This window comes from Homo sapiens, chromosome 7 (genome assembly GCF_000001405.40).
Source record: "Homo sapiens chromosome 7, GRCh38.p14 Primary Assembly".
NCBI lineage: Eukaryota > Metazoa > Chordata > Mammalia > Primates > Hominidae > Homo > Homo sapiens.
This window is the reverse complement of record NC_000007.14, coordinates 82,077,753-82,093,920: the sequence shown is the minus strand read 5'-3', so window position 1 is coordinate 82,093,920 and position 16,168 is coordinate 82,077,753. Positions and strand designations below refer to the sequence as shown.

The following is a 16,168-nucleotide window of genomic DNA, read 5'->3' as shown; positions in this document are numbered from 1 at the left end:
CAGTCTCACAGCAAAGCCAAGAGATTTCCCTTATCTAATTTGGTCTGTATTTCTCAGCCAGAGTTTCTTCTCAGCATTAACAGGAGCTTGTATGTGCATAATTTTGTGTGTGTGTGCCTGTGTATGTGTGGGTGGTGTCTGTTATGCCTATTAGACCTGATATAATTTCATTTCTTTTACTAGAATCTTAGTGCGACTATTCTGTATTCAATGCAGCATTCATCAGTGTGGTTTGCTTTCTGGAACACTTGGAATATGCCATTGTAAAAATTATTTTCTCACCAAGTTACATAAGATATTAAAAATCTTTTTTCAGTTTGCCATTGTCTTATAGCAATTGAAATGGAAAGGTTAATAGACTATTAACCTTTCTTCATGAGATTCATAGCAAGAAAATTAAGTAGTGTTGTTGGACATTACTGGGGTTGGGGTAAGAAGGGCAAAAGTTCCTTGAGGAAAAAGAAAATACTAGGTTTTAGTCACTCATACTTGGATTTTAGGAGTCAGATCAGAATTTATCAAGATAAATTAAAAATATATTTTAAATGCTGAGTATTAGGAGACAGAGAAAATAATGATGATTAATGATGAGAGCAGGTAACACTTATTGTGCAGTTACTAAATGACAAGTAGTATTCTAAGTATGTATAATCTTCAAAACTAGCCCTGTGATGCAGATGCTATTATTATCCCCACTGTACGAGTGAGGAAACTGAGGTTTAGAGAGGGTAAAACACTTTCCCAAGATCAAGTGGTTACTTCTGACAGAAAGACGTGCAGTCTGTGAGAGGGTGGATAATGGGTGAGAATAGTTTTTGCACACATTACATACATTCACATGCTCATTTTAAAAATACCACTTAGAAAAAGGCCTCACCAGAAAGAAAATCTATAGTATGCATGAAAACAAAACAAAAAAAAACCACACACTTTAATTTGGAGTCCTTTAAATTTGGTCTTAATTGCATATTCATTCTTCTATGGCTTCCGGCTTCATTTCTCTGCTCTCAGAGTTTCTGATGTTTTTTTAAACGCACACATTTTATTTCTCTTTTTAAGGTCTAAATGAAAGATCTTTAGGGTATTTCTTGTTGTTTTCATTTACCGAGAGTTTAGCAGGCTATGTATTTACTGAAATATTACTCTAAAATATAGAATAGAAATTTAACAATTTATTTACTCATTTAATTACAAATACTAAAATTTCTCATAAAAATGGCTGTGAAGTGGCCGGGCATGGTGGCTCACACCTGTAATCCCAGCACTTTGGGAGGCCGAGGTGGGTGGATCATGAGGTGAGGAGATGGAGACCATCCCAGCTAACATGGTGAAAACCCTGTCTCTACTAAAAATACAAAAAAAAAAAAAAAAAAAAAAAAAGTTAGCTGGGCGTGGTGGTGGGTGCCCGTAGTCCCAATTACTCGGGAGGCTGAGGCAGGAGAATGGCATGAACCCGGGAGGCGGAGCTTGGCAGTGAGCCTAGATTGTGCCACCGCACTCCAGCCTGGGCGACAGAATGAGACTCTGTCTCAAGAAAAAAAAAATGACTGTGAAGTACTATCAATAGAAGATATTGTATTTTCTTCAGATAATTATGCTAAAGTTTCTACTTTATTTTACAAATTACATAATGTTCCTAAATTTGAAATGAAAATTTTCAACTAGCTGATTCTAATGAAGAATATCTTATGATGTGAGTGTTTAAATAAATTAGGAGATTAAGCAGAAGGAATATTGCTTTACACAACATAAACAGATTTACATTCTAATTGCTCTATGTAAAAGAAATGTGTTTTTGTTCAAGGAAGAGGAAATTACTGACTGGACTAAAACAGTATGCTGACAGGTCAAAAGTTGTTGTCTATGTAAGACACTTAGGGAGATGTGCACCGTACAGTATTTTAATCTAGCTGAGGAAAGAACTGGAATAAAAATATGCTTGCTAATTCAGTTCTCATTCATAAATTTATTTGACCTTCACACCAACCCTATAGGCTGTCTAGGATCCTTAGTATAGCTATATTCATTTTTTTAGACGAATAGAACAGAAGCACAAGAAGTTAAATGATTTGTTTTAAGTAGTATGTTGTGCCAGTGATTGTGATTCTAGGCTATCAAAGTCATTAATAATTTATTTGGTTTTGATACTACTAAGGAGAGAAAAGCTTAGAATGCTTAAAGGATAAAACAATAATTTGACCTTGGGGCTCCTATATTTCTGAGGTTTCTTATACAAAATACAGCCCTTCTCCCTCCTCAAATCTTACAATTATCATTTTATTTCAAGTGACATTAAATCATTCAATTAGTAGACATGATATTAGATACTAGTGTCTTCTATTCCCCTTGCATTACCCTTGTTTTCTTTAATAATAAAGTGGATTTCTTCTGAGCTCCTCCTCTGTGCTCCACAGCGTGCAGATTTCATTAAAGCAGAACAGCTGTGTTCTGGGCATTGGCCAGGTGCTCAATCCGCAGGAAACTAAAGTGATAGGGGGCAAGGCCAGAAATCTCAGTAATACAGGGGCTAGACAACTGACAAGGACAAGGGCCTTTTCATATTTGTACCAAATTAACTGTAGGAATAAGGCTTATCTCCTCATCAAGGTCCTTGTGTGCCTTGGAGCCTTCTGCTCTCCCATCCTCAGTGCGAGGTGGATTCTGGTGCCCGAGACATGATTAGAGAGATTAGATTTGGTCTTCCCATCTCCCTGTACCTTATTCATCTTTCATTTACACTGGGATTAGATGAGATTCCATTAGCCAAATCCACTGAAAAGATTCATTCATTTTAATATTTATGCACACTGTCTACTCCTTAAAGTGGATTCTTTTTTTCCCTGTGCACTTAATTAGATCAGTAGGTTTCTTCTTATTAACATCTTTCTTTTCAGAGATTAGGGTTGGTGAATAAAATTAGTGACATCTGGCTCAGCTTATCTGATAATGCAGCTCTTTTCTTAAGGTAGTCAACATATAAATGACTTTTCTTAAGGTAGTCAACATATAAATGACTACCTTATTTATATGTTGTGAAATGAACGTTTGCCACAAAAGATATCTTTTGTTTAGAATCATACTTACAATAAGTGTTGAATCTAAAACTAAACAAAGTTTCTAATATTCTATGATTGTCCAAAAATTAAAGGTGTGGAGGAGGTAACATTTAAGGGCATTAAAAACTAGATTTGAAACCCTTGCTTGCTTGTTTAAGGAATAGTAAGTTTCCAAAACTAAAATGAAAATTTGCCCAACCCAAAGAGTGCCAAAATGTAGAATGAAATATAGACAAAATTTACTGTCACAAAGACAGTATTAAATATACTGTCTTAAATATAAAATAGTACTTAAATATAAAATAGTACTAAACTATTAGTAACAATAGTTTAAATAACATGCTAATTTTTATCTCAATGCAAGGCTGTAATAGAATAGTATTATAAATTACATGAAATGGTAAACATTTTTGCTTGTTCTCTTATTTAACTGTATGATATTTGGTATTGTTAAACAAAAATAATTTTTAGTATCTAGTCCCTTACATATCTTTAATAGCTACATCTCTTAAAGACTTATTAGAGTTATTTTATATTTTCAGTAAGTCCTAACAAATGTTTTTCTCTTTTTTTCTTGCATAAATCTGCTTTATTAGAAAGCTATAGGTAAGGGTACAAAGATTCAGTTTTAAAAGATGAGTAACTTCTGGAGATCTAATATACAGCATGGCGAGGATAGTTAACAATATTGTATTGTAATTTTCTAGGAGGGATAGATCTTAAATTAATTCCCCCAACTTCCACCCTAATGGTAGTTATGTAAAGGTGATGGATAAGTTAATTAACTTGATTTTGATGATTACTTTACAACATACAGGTGTATCAAAACATCACATTTCATACTTTATACTATTTTATATGTCAATGACATCTCAAAGCTGTTACAAAAGCTGTAGTTGACATTATAAATAACAGTAAGATTCTTCAAATAGTCATATGGTGCCATCAATGTATGGTGAGGCCTTGGACCCTGAATAAATCAAGAAAATGTATTCAAACTTAATACAAACTTAATTCAAACTTAAGAGGGAGCAATAGTGCAACATTTTATTGGTTGAAGTTTGCAGAAGAACACTGGATTCAGAGCTCGTCAAATATTCTGTATTCCTTGTCATAAACAAGATATAGATAGAAGAGTCGTGTCTTTTAGAAGAATTAGCAGCAAATATAAGGGGTTTCTTTTGTGCTGTTACAAATTAGATTTTTCTTTCTTCTCTTGAGAATCCAGACTGAACAATAGAATACTCTAAAAGGGAGAATTGCTGACACCAAGGCCAGTTTTTTAAAACTAAGTAAACAAAGAATAGAGATGTATGCTTGGCTTTCTGAATCGATTATCAGTGAAATCCTATTATGCCGTTCAGAATAAAGGCCTCAAAGTCAAGGTTTGATTTCCAAGCATTCACTGCTTTTAGTAGGCTTGGCCTTGGACATCTATAAAAGACTTAATTTTTACAAAATCGAATTTTCTAACAGGGATAAAGATCTTCATTTCTTAAAAGTTGACAGAAAATGAGAACTAATTTTACTCCTAATCTAAGACAATTAGCTAAATTTGTCAGCAACTGGTAGTAGGTTCAAGGCTAGATTGTCACTGAGCAGTCTTCTATAGTGAAAAAATATTGAACACTCATGTACTTCTAATCTCATCTGAAGCAAGAAACTGGAAGTATATGTGAATGTAAAACATTACTATTTGTCAGGGGTAGGGAGGAAAAAGAGGGCAACTGTCAATATATAATAAATAATATCATATAGAACAAAGGTCCCCAGCCCCTGGGCCATGGACCGGTCTGGGTCCCTGACCTGTTAGGAACCGGGCCACGCAGCAGGAGAGCATTACTTCCTGAGCTCTGCCTTCTGTCAGGTGAGCAGCAGCATTAGATTCTCATAGGAGCATGAACCCTGTTGTGAACGGCACATGTGCGTGATCTAGGTTCCATGCTCCTTATGAGATATCTAGTAATGCCTGATGATCTGAGGTGGAACAGAGTCATCCTGAAACCATGTCCCACCTCCATTTGTGGAAAAATTGTCTTTAACAAAACCAGTCCCTGTGCCAAAAAGATCATAGAATATATAATTGAGAATATAAAATACAATATAATTTTAAATAATACCAATTTATAGAATACCATTCACCTGTTATACATATTATTAAATATATCTTGCCAAATCAAAGGATTTTTACGGTCAAAAATATTTTAAGTTTTTTCGTAAAGAAAATTTATTCTGGAATTTTTATATTAAACATTATTTGGCTACTAATTTACATTGATATTTCCACAATTAAATAAAATCTTTGACATTCAAATAAAGATTATGACATAAAATAATAATTGCATTTTAAAGTCTTTGTGATATACAATGACAAATGAAACTTTTTGTTGAATTTTGTTGATATTTATTGAACTTCAGTAAATCAGAGTTCCACAATTATTTTTTGAGATTAGGTTTTATATGAATGAAAAATACAGTTTCATAATCTAGAGTAATATTTGCTGAAAATAATTTTCCAAGGAATTTGGCCTTGTTTTATTTTTCCTGTTATGAAAAAATGACGTTTTGTACCTTTTATTTTTTAAGAACTACAGTGTCAGGAAAACAGGAGAGACTAAAAATACTGTCTAAGAATAGAGAAAGGCACCAGCATAACCACATAAACTCTTTATAATATAAAACAAAAGATCTCCTGAAAAACAACTTTTAACTTTAAAAAGCACTTGACTTACCCGGTTGTAACCAGAATAGTTAAAAACAAAAAAACAAAACAAAACAAAAAAAACTTCCTAAATAAACTCTACCCACATATTTAGAGAGACAGACAGAAACAGAGATAGGGGCTAAGGGGCATCCTGGGGAGAGATAGAGACAAGGGAAGAGAGAGAGAGATAATGTGTGTATAAATACAATGGAAATGGCAGAGCACAATTCGTATCCAGGAAATGACATAAACTTGTTTTAGCATGGCCGGTATTGTGCATTTAGTGTTATATTATCTATCATCTACAGATTACCCTTTTATTTCAGCATTATTTATCCTGAGTGTGCTAATAGCATAAAAATGGAGAAATGTTGGGCACTTTAGTAATCTTGGATGAGCTATTTAATTTTATAAGGTTAAGAAGAAAAAAAGTCTGGTCTTTTCAAGGTACCAGAGTAATATAGGTTTATTAGTCAAATATAATGCATAATGTGGATCAGAAAAATATAGGCAGATAACCCAAGGTCTAAAATAGTATTCATTCTTCCTTGTTGGCTTTGATGCTTTATATATTTTCTTTTCCATTTTTTTTTTTTTTTTAGCTGCTTTCAATATTATTTGAGAAAAAACTTTCCTAGTGAAGCAGTTTTATCCTACTTTCTAGTTTTGGTATTTTAAGGAATTGAATGAATGATTCTTGCTCTATAATACTCTGAGGAAGAACTGGAGACACATATTCTCTCCGTAGTATAAATCTCTTGAAGAACATTGTTCAGTGAACACGATGTGCATGTTGTTAGGTAGATCCAGTCAAACTGCTCTCTACAAAGGCTGTAGTAATTTTGCATTCCTATGGCAGATCGTCTTTGAATTTTGATTTCTAGACATCCATAAAAAGACTGTGACTAATAGGATAATGGTTGCATTTAAAAGTCCCTGCAACTATATACTAACACATGGAAGTGTCTGTATTCTTACATCTTACTACACATTGGGTATATCAAATTTATAAACCGTACTGATGTGATAGGTGTGCAATGCCAATACTTTCATTCTGAGTCAAATTTAAAATCAGTTCTAGTGCCTAGTCTGGGAATTCTTTATATGATTTGCTCATTTGTAGATGAACACATTTTGAGAGAAATATTTTGAAATCTACCTTAGTAATGGCTTGTCTGAAAAAGAAAATTTTCAAAGCATCAACTGGAAATCTTAAAACATATTGCCAGGATAATAGGAATATTGTAGAGCTTGACTTTTTCCCTCAGTTTATAAAAGTATAATTCACAATCAGTGTGTCAGTACCCAATACTTAGTAGCTGTTGAGTTATCAAACAAAACTAAGAAAAAGTTAGCAGCCTTAAAAACAAATAAAACTTTATTAAAAATAACTAGATGTTATTGCCTAATATGAATGAAAGAATCAAGGAAATTAAAGAGATAGAATAGATTGGGGATTAATGAAGTCTATCTGGATCATAAATAAACATTTGTTTAGTAGAATGTTACTATAAAAGTCATAAATGTTTAAGAGAAAACACAATGTTCCTCTTTCTATGCTATTTTGTATATTGATATAAATATTCATGAATAGTGGGTATCAGTTCAGGTTATCTGTGTGAATATAAATTCTCATATAACTGGCTGCTTAGTGTTCATTGGATCATGCTTTTGAATATGAATTCTCTAGTATCTCAGATGCACGATGGATCTGATGCAGCTCATGAATATTCACACACACACAACTGATCTTTTTGAAAGTAATCGCATCCATAAAGATGAAAATCTTGTTAGTTTTCAATAATGAGGACTGCTTTAGCATGCTGGTCCCAGAAGAGTTTCACAATCACCTTGTTTTTGTTGATTTCTTTTTTGGTAAATGATACAACTTTAAAATATAAACACATAGGCCGTGCATCTTGTTTCACAGGCGCTGTTTTTAATTTTACCTTTAAAAAGGCTTGTGCATGATTTAACCATGATGGCATTCATTTCTTTTATTTGCTGTCATCACAGAAAAAAATAGAAAGACGTTAAGCTGTATCTCCAGTCTTTATCCTAAGCACATTTCCACTGTTCAGGCTTGGTCAGAGATTGTCAAATGCAAAGTGGCCCTGTCTGCTAATCTCTGGGGACATGGTGTATATTTTACATAGAAAATTATGCCTTTTTTTGTGTAAAGGGAAAATTATATTAGGCCAATTAAATTTTTAGTATGCTAGACTTGAGAAGTTATGATCATGAAGGGTCAGTTATAAATTATGCACTATTTTAACCCATATTATATCTTACACTTAACCCATATTATATCCTACATTATAATTGCTTCTCTTTCATTGTAATGAGTGGTATATGTTTGTAATACCTATCCAAGATTAGTTTCTAGTTATAAATACGTATCAAAATCAATCACCTGGCCCTTATCGGCACCATGCTCTAATTATTAATAGAAATAACCAGGAGAAAAAAAAAAACTATTGTTTATGAAGGTAGTGATAAAGTGTCAACTAGTTTGTTTCTAACACGGATATTGTCAAGCCTCTGAGTAAATTTTCCCATTACTAAAATATGTACATTTTTGTTGTATAAACATAGTTAATTAGCTATGCCCAATGACTTTTTTTCTTTTTTTTTTTTTTAAGGTAGCAGGCTAATTTATGTTGCTCTGCCGCAGAGAGTCATCAATAGTTGATTACTGTGGTCTTAAAACTCTGTCCTAAGGTGCCCCATAGGTTTCCTCAGAACTACCTCTGAGGATAAAAAGGAATACCACTCATTTCTCCTCATATTCTATGTGTCACAGTAGTTCTCAAGCAGGAGTGATTTTGCCCGCAGGGGCCATCTGACAGTCTGGAGACATTTTCGCATGTCACAACTTGGGGGTGGGGAGGTACTAGTATCTAGTGGATAGAGGCCAGAGATGCTGCTAAACATTTTCACAGGATTAGACCTCACAACAAAGAATAACCGAGGCCAAAATGTCAGTAGGGACACTGTCATACAAAGTTTTGTTTTCAGAAATTCTCTCCAGAGTATAAACCTCTTGAAAAACATCTTTCGATGAATACTATGTACATGTTGGTAGTAGATCCAGTCAAACTGTCCTCTAAAGTGTCGAAAACTTGTTGATAACTACTGGATTAGAGTTATTTTATAGGTAGAACAATGAACATATTTAATATTATTTTGTAAATAAATGAAGACATTCAGTTTTTAATTACAAATTTGAATTAATTAATGGTTTCTCTCTTTTTTGTTAGCAACAATTGTGTTAAATGAACTCAACTGGACAAGTGCCTTAGATGAAGTTTTCAAAAAGAATCGCGAGGAAGACCCTTCATTATTGTGGCAGGTTTTTGGCAGTGCCACTGGCCTAGCTCGATATTATCCAGGTAGGTGCTTAGTGATTCAATCATTGTCAAGTTCCAGCCTCAATGTTTCTGGAGAATACTCTGTTATCTTCCCTGATACTGTAAGAAAAATATGACTATATCACACTACTTTTATAAGGAAAGAACATTCCTCTTTACATGGCTTTGGATTGACCACAGTCACTTTAAACTGAAATACCTAAGGAGCAGTTGTGGAGCTATTGGTACCTGGAATCAGGCCATGCTGCTGTGAGACCATGAGCAGGTATCCTTAGGTATATACCTGGAACAGGAAATTACCATCAATCTTAAAACAGCTCTGAGATAAAGGCCCAACTGCTCAGCATGCACCAAGCTGTGAGTCACATTAGAGAATTGAATTGAATTTTTATAAATTGATTGAAATTTGTAACAAAAGTTTAATGTGTTTAATCAGTAGACGTGGATCTGTTAAAATGAGTAGGACAAGAAATAAAATGAAATCACAAAGAAAATAGAGTTTTTCTTATGTGTCAGGTTATATCACTTCTGAGTGCATCTCAGTGATCATACATACTCAATGAAGATGAATATATTTTATGTTAAAGTGAAAACATCTTTTTATAAATATGTATTATAAAAAGAGTAAGGAGAAATAGTAATTTCTATAACAAAATGAAAAATTAATTCCTAGGACATCCTGAAAACCTATTGAAAACACTTTAAGTGAAATGTCTACTGGTGTTTTTTACTTTCTCCACTTTTTAGAGCAAGCTGAAAAACATAAAATGCGTTTTCTTTCTCAAACATGATCTGAGTTATGGGATACGTGCTAGGTAATTTGGCTTTAAATTGCTACAGTATGACCTTAAACAGCATAATTCTTCTTGAGACTTGGGTGTCCTAAACATGTTTAACAAATTGAGTTATTCATATAAAAAGTCACAGCAGTAAATAAGGGTGAAATAAAAATTAGAAAATATATAAGTTTGGATTGTAATATTATAGCAATGAATGAAAGTATCTGGGTATCAATGGACTGAATGGTACTCAAATTAGGTAAAAACCATATAACTTCTGCAGGGTTGCAGATGCCAGATGGTAAAATCAGTAATAATTTTTTTCCGCATAAGTCCAACACACTAGGAAAAGCCAAGTTTGATTTAAATATTGAAAAAATGAGTTATAATTAAATATTTGTATTATTATCTGATGGGAATATATTACATAGTTTATCATTATAATAGTGGAATTTTCCCTTTATGGAATATTGTTCACTTTAGTAGAACCTTTCTAAACATAATCTTGTTAGTTTATTAACATGTTAAATACTATTATCAGAAGACTTAAAATTTGAGTATTATATTATATAATACTTATATAAGACAACATAAAGGAAAAAGACAACACTGCTCATGCGCATAATAAACCTGATGTAATAAACCTTAAAATTGTATCAGGTCTTATAAAACAATTATAAATTAGAAGACCTGATATAATTTAAAATATAGGAAATAGATATCTGATGTCCTATCCTATAATATACAAATATAAGAATATATTTGTCAGTAACTTACAGCATTATGTAGCTTTCAAGTCTTTTCATATATCCTTTATCATAACAATATTCCATATATAAGTAAGGGAAAGAGGGAAATGATAATTAAAAGAAAATTAGGATGATAATGAGCAGTCAAGAGCCCAGTATCGGAGAGAAAATGATGATATAGAGGAAGAGAGAAAAGGGTTACAAGAGAAAAACAAGAAGAGGAGAGGAAGGAAAGAATGCATGCAAAATGGGAGAGAAAACATGGGGATCAAGAGATGGATGGAAAGATAAGTTGTATTATGAACCCTTTTCAAAAATGGCTCTTTTAACAAATAGCAGTTAACTTTAAAAATTACTAATAAAACATATTCTGTAATTCTTTAACTTCAAATGCTAATTGAGGGATGATGGCTTTAATTTTTTGATGCTAATCATATATTTTCAAATGTGTTGACATTTGTTCACTTCATTTTGGAAAACATATTTAGATATTTAGCAGAATTCATGTGGTCTTGATAGAGGCAGGAGACAGACAAAAATCTATGAAGATGGGACGGGTTTCCAGTGAAACATTACTTTCAAGCAGAAGACGGTTTAAAGCCTAGCTATAAGTCCTGGGTAAATCCTCAGACCAGATTGAGAACCTCCCTTCTTGTTTGATGTGCTTTCCTCTGATTGATCCCCACCCTTCATCTATTTTACATATACGTACCCTTTCCTAATTGGTTTTTTACACTGTCATGCCCACCTTTGAGAAGTGCCTTTGTTTTAGCCTTTTTGCATACTTACAAACCAATCAACATGAACTCCCCGTTCTGAGTCCATAAAAGCCCCAGACTCAACCACACTGAGTAAGAGACCACCTGACATCAGGTAGAGGGATGACCCATACATTCCTTCTGCTCTAAGAGCTTTCTCATTGCTCAATAAGATTCTTCTCTGCTCTCCCCACCCTTCAGTTGTCTGCGTAACCTCATTCTTCTTGGAAGTGTGACAAGAACCCATGAAATGTGGGTACAAAGAAAGTTGTAACACTATGGTCCTCTGCCCTCCGCTGGTGGAGGACAGCTGCCCCATACATCAGGAAGCAGTGGCAGGGCTGAGCCAGCCCCAGAGCCGTGGGCCAGAGTGGAGCAAGGGACTGACAGAGTTGTTAACCTGCCACCATCCATTAGGCTGCAGATGGCGGGACTTAAAGAACTAATTAGCATGCTGTAACACATGCTTCAGGGTCAGGGGCACCCCTGCCTGGGTGCCACCACGTTTCCGCATTTGAGGTGCCAGAGTCCACCATGAGAGTCACTTATGACATGCCTGGTCTAACCACAAGCCCCACATAGAGCCCGCTTCTGTGCCAGCACTTGGAATGGCGGACCGGAGCCTGCACTCACTTGCTCACACACCCCCTCCCACCAGAGGCTGGGTGCACAGTCACAGTGGCTGTGGGAACCACGCTGGAGTGCAGGCCGGGTGCTGACCAGCAGGCACAGTAGATGGGGTGTCTCCTGCGGTGAACCCGGACCCAAGCAAGGCCTGGGCAGGGGTGTCACTGGCCAGAGGTCTCTGGCTGGCAAAGTGACCAAGAAAAGTCCTGCACTAGTCTTTCCAAAACATTAGCTGTGGAAGCAACCATGTGCCCACTCACAATACCTAGGTTTTAAGTAAGAGTTTGGCAAGCAAAATGACTCACCAAATAACAGGCTGAATTCATTTACCTGTTACAGGAAGGTCATTAAAATAGCCCACTTGACTGCTAGGGAATACACTTGAATGGATTTTAGTTTAGTGAATCTGTTACTGAGTTGCTCTTTATGACAGTAATGATATAATATAACCAAGTATTTAGTAAAGACATTGAGACAATGTCATAACTTTAAAAGTGGGCGATTGTGTTTCTGTTTTTGTAAGACTGTGTTTTTAACACAAAAACACAGCTTTGTTGAAATGACATGATTAAAAAATTTTTGGGGAGACTATATATACTTCTCTGATCATATCATTTTGATAGAAGCAAAATAATATAGAAGGACTCACCCCTGTTTACTGTATGTTAAACCAGAGGTCAAAAATAGTCTTTTAGTATTTTAATTATCTTAACAATAAATGGCAACAGCACATATGTTACTTCTACTTAATTGAACTTTTACATGGAAGACTTGACCCTCAGGCTAGGCTCTCCCTGCTAGCTGTGAGAACCTAGGTAGGTCTCCTAAACTCTCTGAGACCTAATCATTAAATTTGAAAAAGTGGAACATTAATAACTCCTCATTTTATCCCCTGGGGGTTATTGTGATCAATGAGATAATATGATGAAAAGTACTTTGAAAATAGGAAACAGTAGGCATTTCTACAATAGTGCATGTCAACTAGAATAATTTTGCCTAAATGCAGCTTTCTCTTTATCTCAGACATTAAAGAACATAATTGAAGCTTACAGTGAGTTGACAAGGAAACTGAAATAGAACTCTGGAAGGAATCTAAACATGACTGAGCCATAAAGTCAGGCAATAACACCACGTAGTGAAACTGGTCAGGAGACGGATTGTAGCTGATGGCCTTAGGTCACTTTTCTGTAGGGCTGCCAGATACGATAAAAGATGTCCAATTAAATGTCAATTTCAAATAAGCAATGAATAACTTGTTAGTGTAAGTATGCTTCATGCAATATTTGTGATACACTTTTGCTAAGAAGGTATTTATTTTTTATTGAAATTCAAAGTTAACTGATTGTCTTGTATTTCTTTTTGCTAAATTCATCAACCTTGTCTTTCAGGCTTTCAGTTTCTATATTTGTAATATGGGAAAGTCAGCTTCCCCATTACTTCACAGTATTGTAAAGATCAAGCAAAGCCTATTCGTCCAGATATATAGAATTTTATAATTTTCATTTTTAACTTCTGTAAGCTACCTATTTTTATTTTTGTAAGTGAATACTTGCCACAGAGCTATTGAAAATAAAATATTTTGCAGGAACTAGAACCTTCTGATTCACAATAGAAGCTAAAAAATATCCTTGTTGATTATTAATATGCTACTTAAAGCAGAGTCACATACAAAGAGGCAGGTGAGCAATTTATTTTTATATATATACACACCTATATACATATATAGGTATATAGGTGTGTATATATATATAGGTGTACATATATGTATATATATACACACATCTATACATATGTACGCATATATATACGTATATATATACACACATATATATTTTTAACCCCATCAGTATTATGTACCCATAATAATTAAAAATAAAAAAATTAAAAATTGAAAGATAATATGTATAAGTTTTGACATACACACACATATTGTAGAATGGTTAAATCTAGCTAATTAACAAAGCCTCACCTAACATAGTTATTATTATGGTCTATATATCATCATTAACTAAAGTCACCGTTTATATGATAGATTTCTTGAATTTATTCCTCCTCTCTAACTGTAATTATGCGTCCTTTGACCAACATCTCCCCATCTCTTCCTCCCTTGTAACCAACCCAGTCTTTGGTAACCGCCATTATAGACTCTGTGTTCTATGACGTCAACTTTTTTTTTTTTTTTTTTGAGACAGAGTCTCACTTTGTTACCTAGGCTGGAGTGCAGTGGCGTAATCTCGGCTCACTGCAACCTCTGCCCCCTGGGTTCGAGCGATTCTCCTGCCTCAGCCTCCCAAGTAGCAGGGATTACAGATGCATGCCACCATGCCTGGCTAATTTTTGTATTATTAGTAGAGACGGGTTTTCTCCATGTTGGCAAGGCTGGTCTCGAAGTCCTGACCTCAGGTGATCCACCTGCCTCAGCCTCCCAAAGTGCTGGGATTACAGGTGTGAGCTACCACACCCAGCTAAGATAGACTTTTTTAGATTCCACAGTAATTATATTCTTGAATCAGATAGCCAGAATATAAACCCCACCTCCACCAGTATACTTTGTATGATGATGACCTTTGGAAAGTCCTCATTGACCTCAGCTGTGAAACAAGGAGGATAACAATGCTTAGATGGTATAATTGTTAAGAGAATAAGAAGCATTAAATCTGTTTGGAGCATATTGCCCAGATGTAGGGGAAAGTTAGAGTACTCTCATGATTTTCATTTATCAGATTATTTAAAATACATAGAAACACTGACTTCCAGTGAGATCTCTAGAGCTAGCGTAATATAAAGGTACCTATGCAGTGCTGACTCAAAACAGTAGTTCCGTAATTAATGGAGATTTAAACTCTTAATGTCTGTCCTTGGACTGAACATGAACCTGCTTTATAATTTCATTGATGTATATGGAAATAAGCTAAGAAAATCATTGGTGTCTGTCCTTTTTCTTCTCACTTCTTCTTTTTTCTTTTTTTCCTCTTTCTCCACCCTCTTTCTTCTTCCTCTTTCTCCTCTCCTTCTTGGAAGGCAGGTAGACTATGAGGAGTTCTAGGTTCTTATAAAAGCTGTCATCACCGTCACTTTGTACTTTTAAGTCATATTATATTTCTGTACCTGTTTCTTCATCAGTAACTTGGGATGATTGAACAAAATGATTTCTAAAGCAAGCACTAGTTTTATCTGCTTATAGCCTGCTGTAGCATTTGCTACATCCACAGTCTTTGTTTTGCAAGATAAGTAGAATGACTAGCCCTAGTCATACAGCTAGCTCATGACATAGATATGATTAGGAACTCATATTTAATGATGTCTTCCTTGAATATGTGCTCATTGGAAAATCAGTTTATCTTGCAAGTTCTTTCCTTTAGAAGCTCTTAACTTATTTATATAAATTAAAGCTATTAAAAACTGCTTTCAATAGCTATCAACTTTGTGAATTCTTATGCATCATAAAAACCATAGGTACAAACTGGTCATTTCACCTGTTAATATCTCCTGAAATTGTACCAATTGTTGCAGTAATTGGGATTGTTATTAGGAATCAGTGGTTCATTGAAATGCCAATGTAGCCAGCACTTACTCTTTTTTTTAGACAATTAGTTGTATTTATTAAAAAAGGGAGAAAACTAAAAATCTACTTCATCTCCGTATGACGTTTACTTAATGTCTTATTATTTGTTCTTTCTCTGCCCTGCCTCGTTTGTTAATTTCAAAACTATGAGATTACAATAAAGGAACCTAATGTGTATTAAGTTAATGTAAAGTAGACCTCTGAGAGACATCTTCTTGTTGCTATTTCTGCTAGGATTTTGCTGGAATAAAATGCAAAAGAATCTCTTACAAAGTATATGGAATGACTTTTTTTTTCCATACAGGTAGCCAATAGCTCTTAAATTGTGTACCACTTTTTGAACAATAATTTAGGAATATTTTAAGCATCAAATAGCAGATGATAAGGTAGTCCAAAGAATACTTTTTAAAGTTTAGTCATAAATGAAGCGTTCGATCTATTTTTAGCCAACTAGAAGAAAATGGGATACCAGTGGAGCCTCAACATTTATAGTATTTATAGAAGTACTGCTTTTGGTTTTCTCTAAAAATGCCTGATTTTTTTTTTTTTTTTACTTTAA

General features: G+C 34.4%; 1 protein-coding gene across 16 annotated transcripts in view; it reads left to right on the top strand.

Moving 5' to 3' along the window:
* Window positions 1–16,168, top strand: part of CACNA2D1 (calcium voltage-gated channel auxiliary subunit alpha2delta 1) — a 497,513-nt gene that overhangs the window by 350,036 nt on the left and 131,309 nt on the right. For all 16 annotated transcript variants that reach the window (XR_001744873.3, XM_005250574.4, XM_005250572.4 and 13 more), the window contains exon 7: window positions 9,021–9,152. Coding sequence is in view for 15 of the 16 variants with exons in the window: in XM_005250574.4 (XP_005250631.1) it covers window positions 9,021–9,152 (132 nt within the window). In the remaining variant the exon portion in view is untranslated. The remainder of the gene's footprint in view (window positions 1–9,020; window positions 9,153–16,168) is intronic.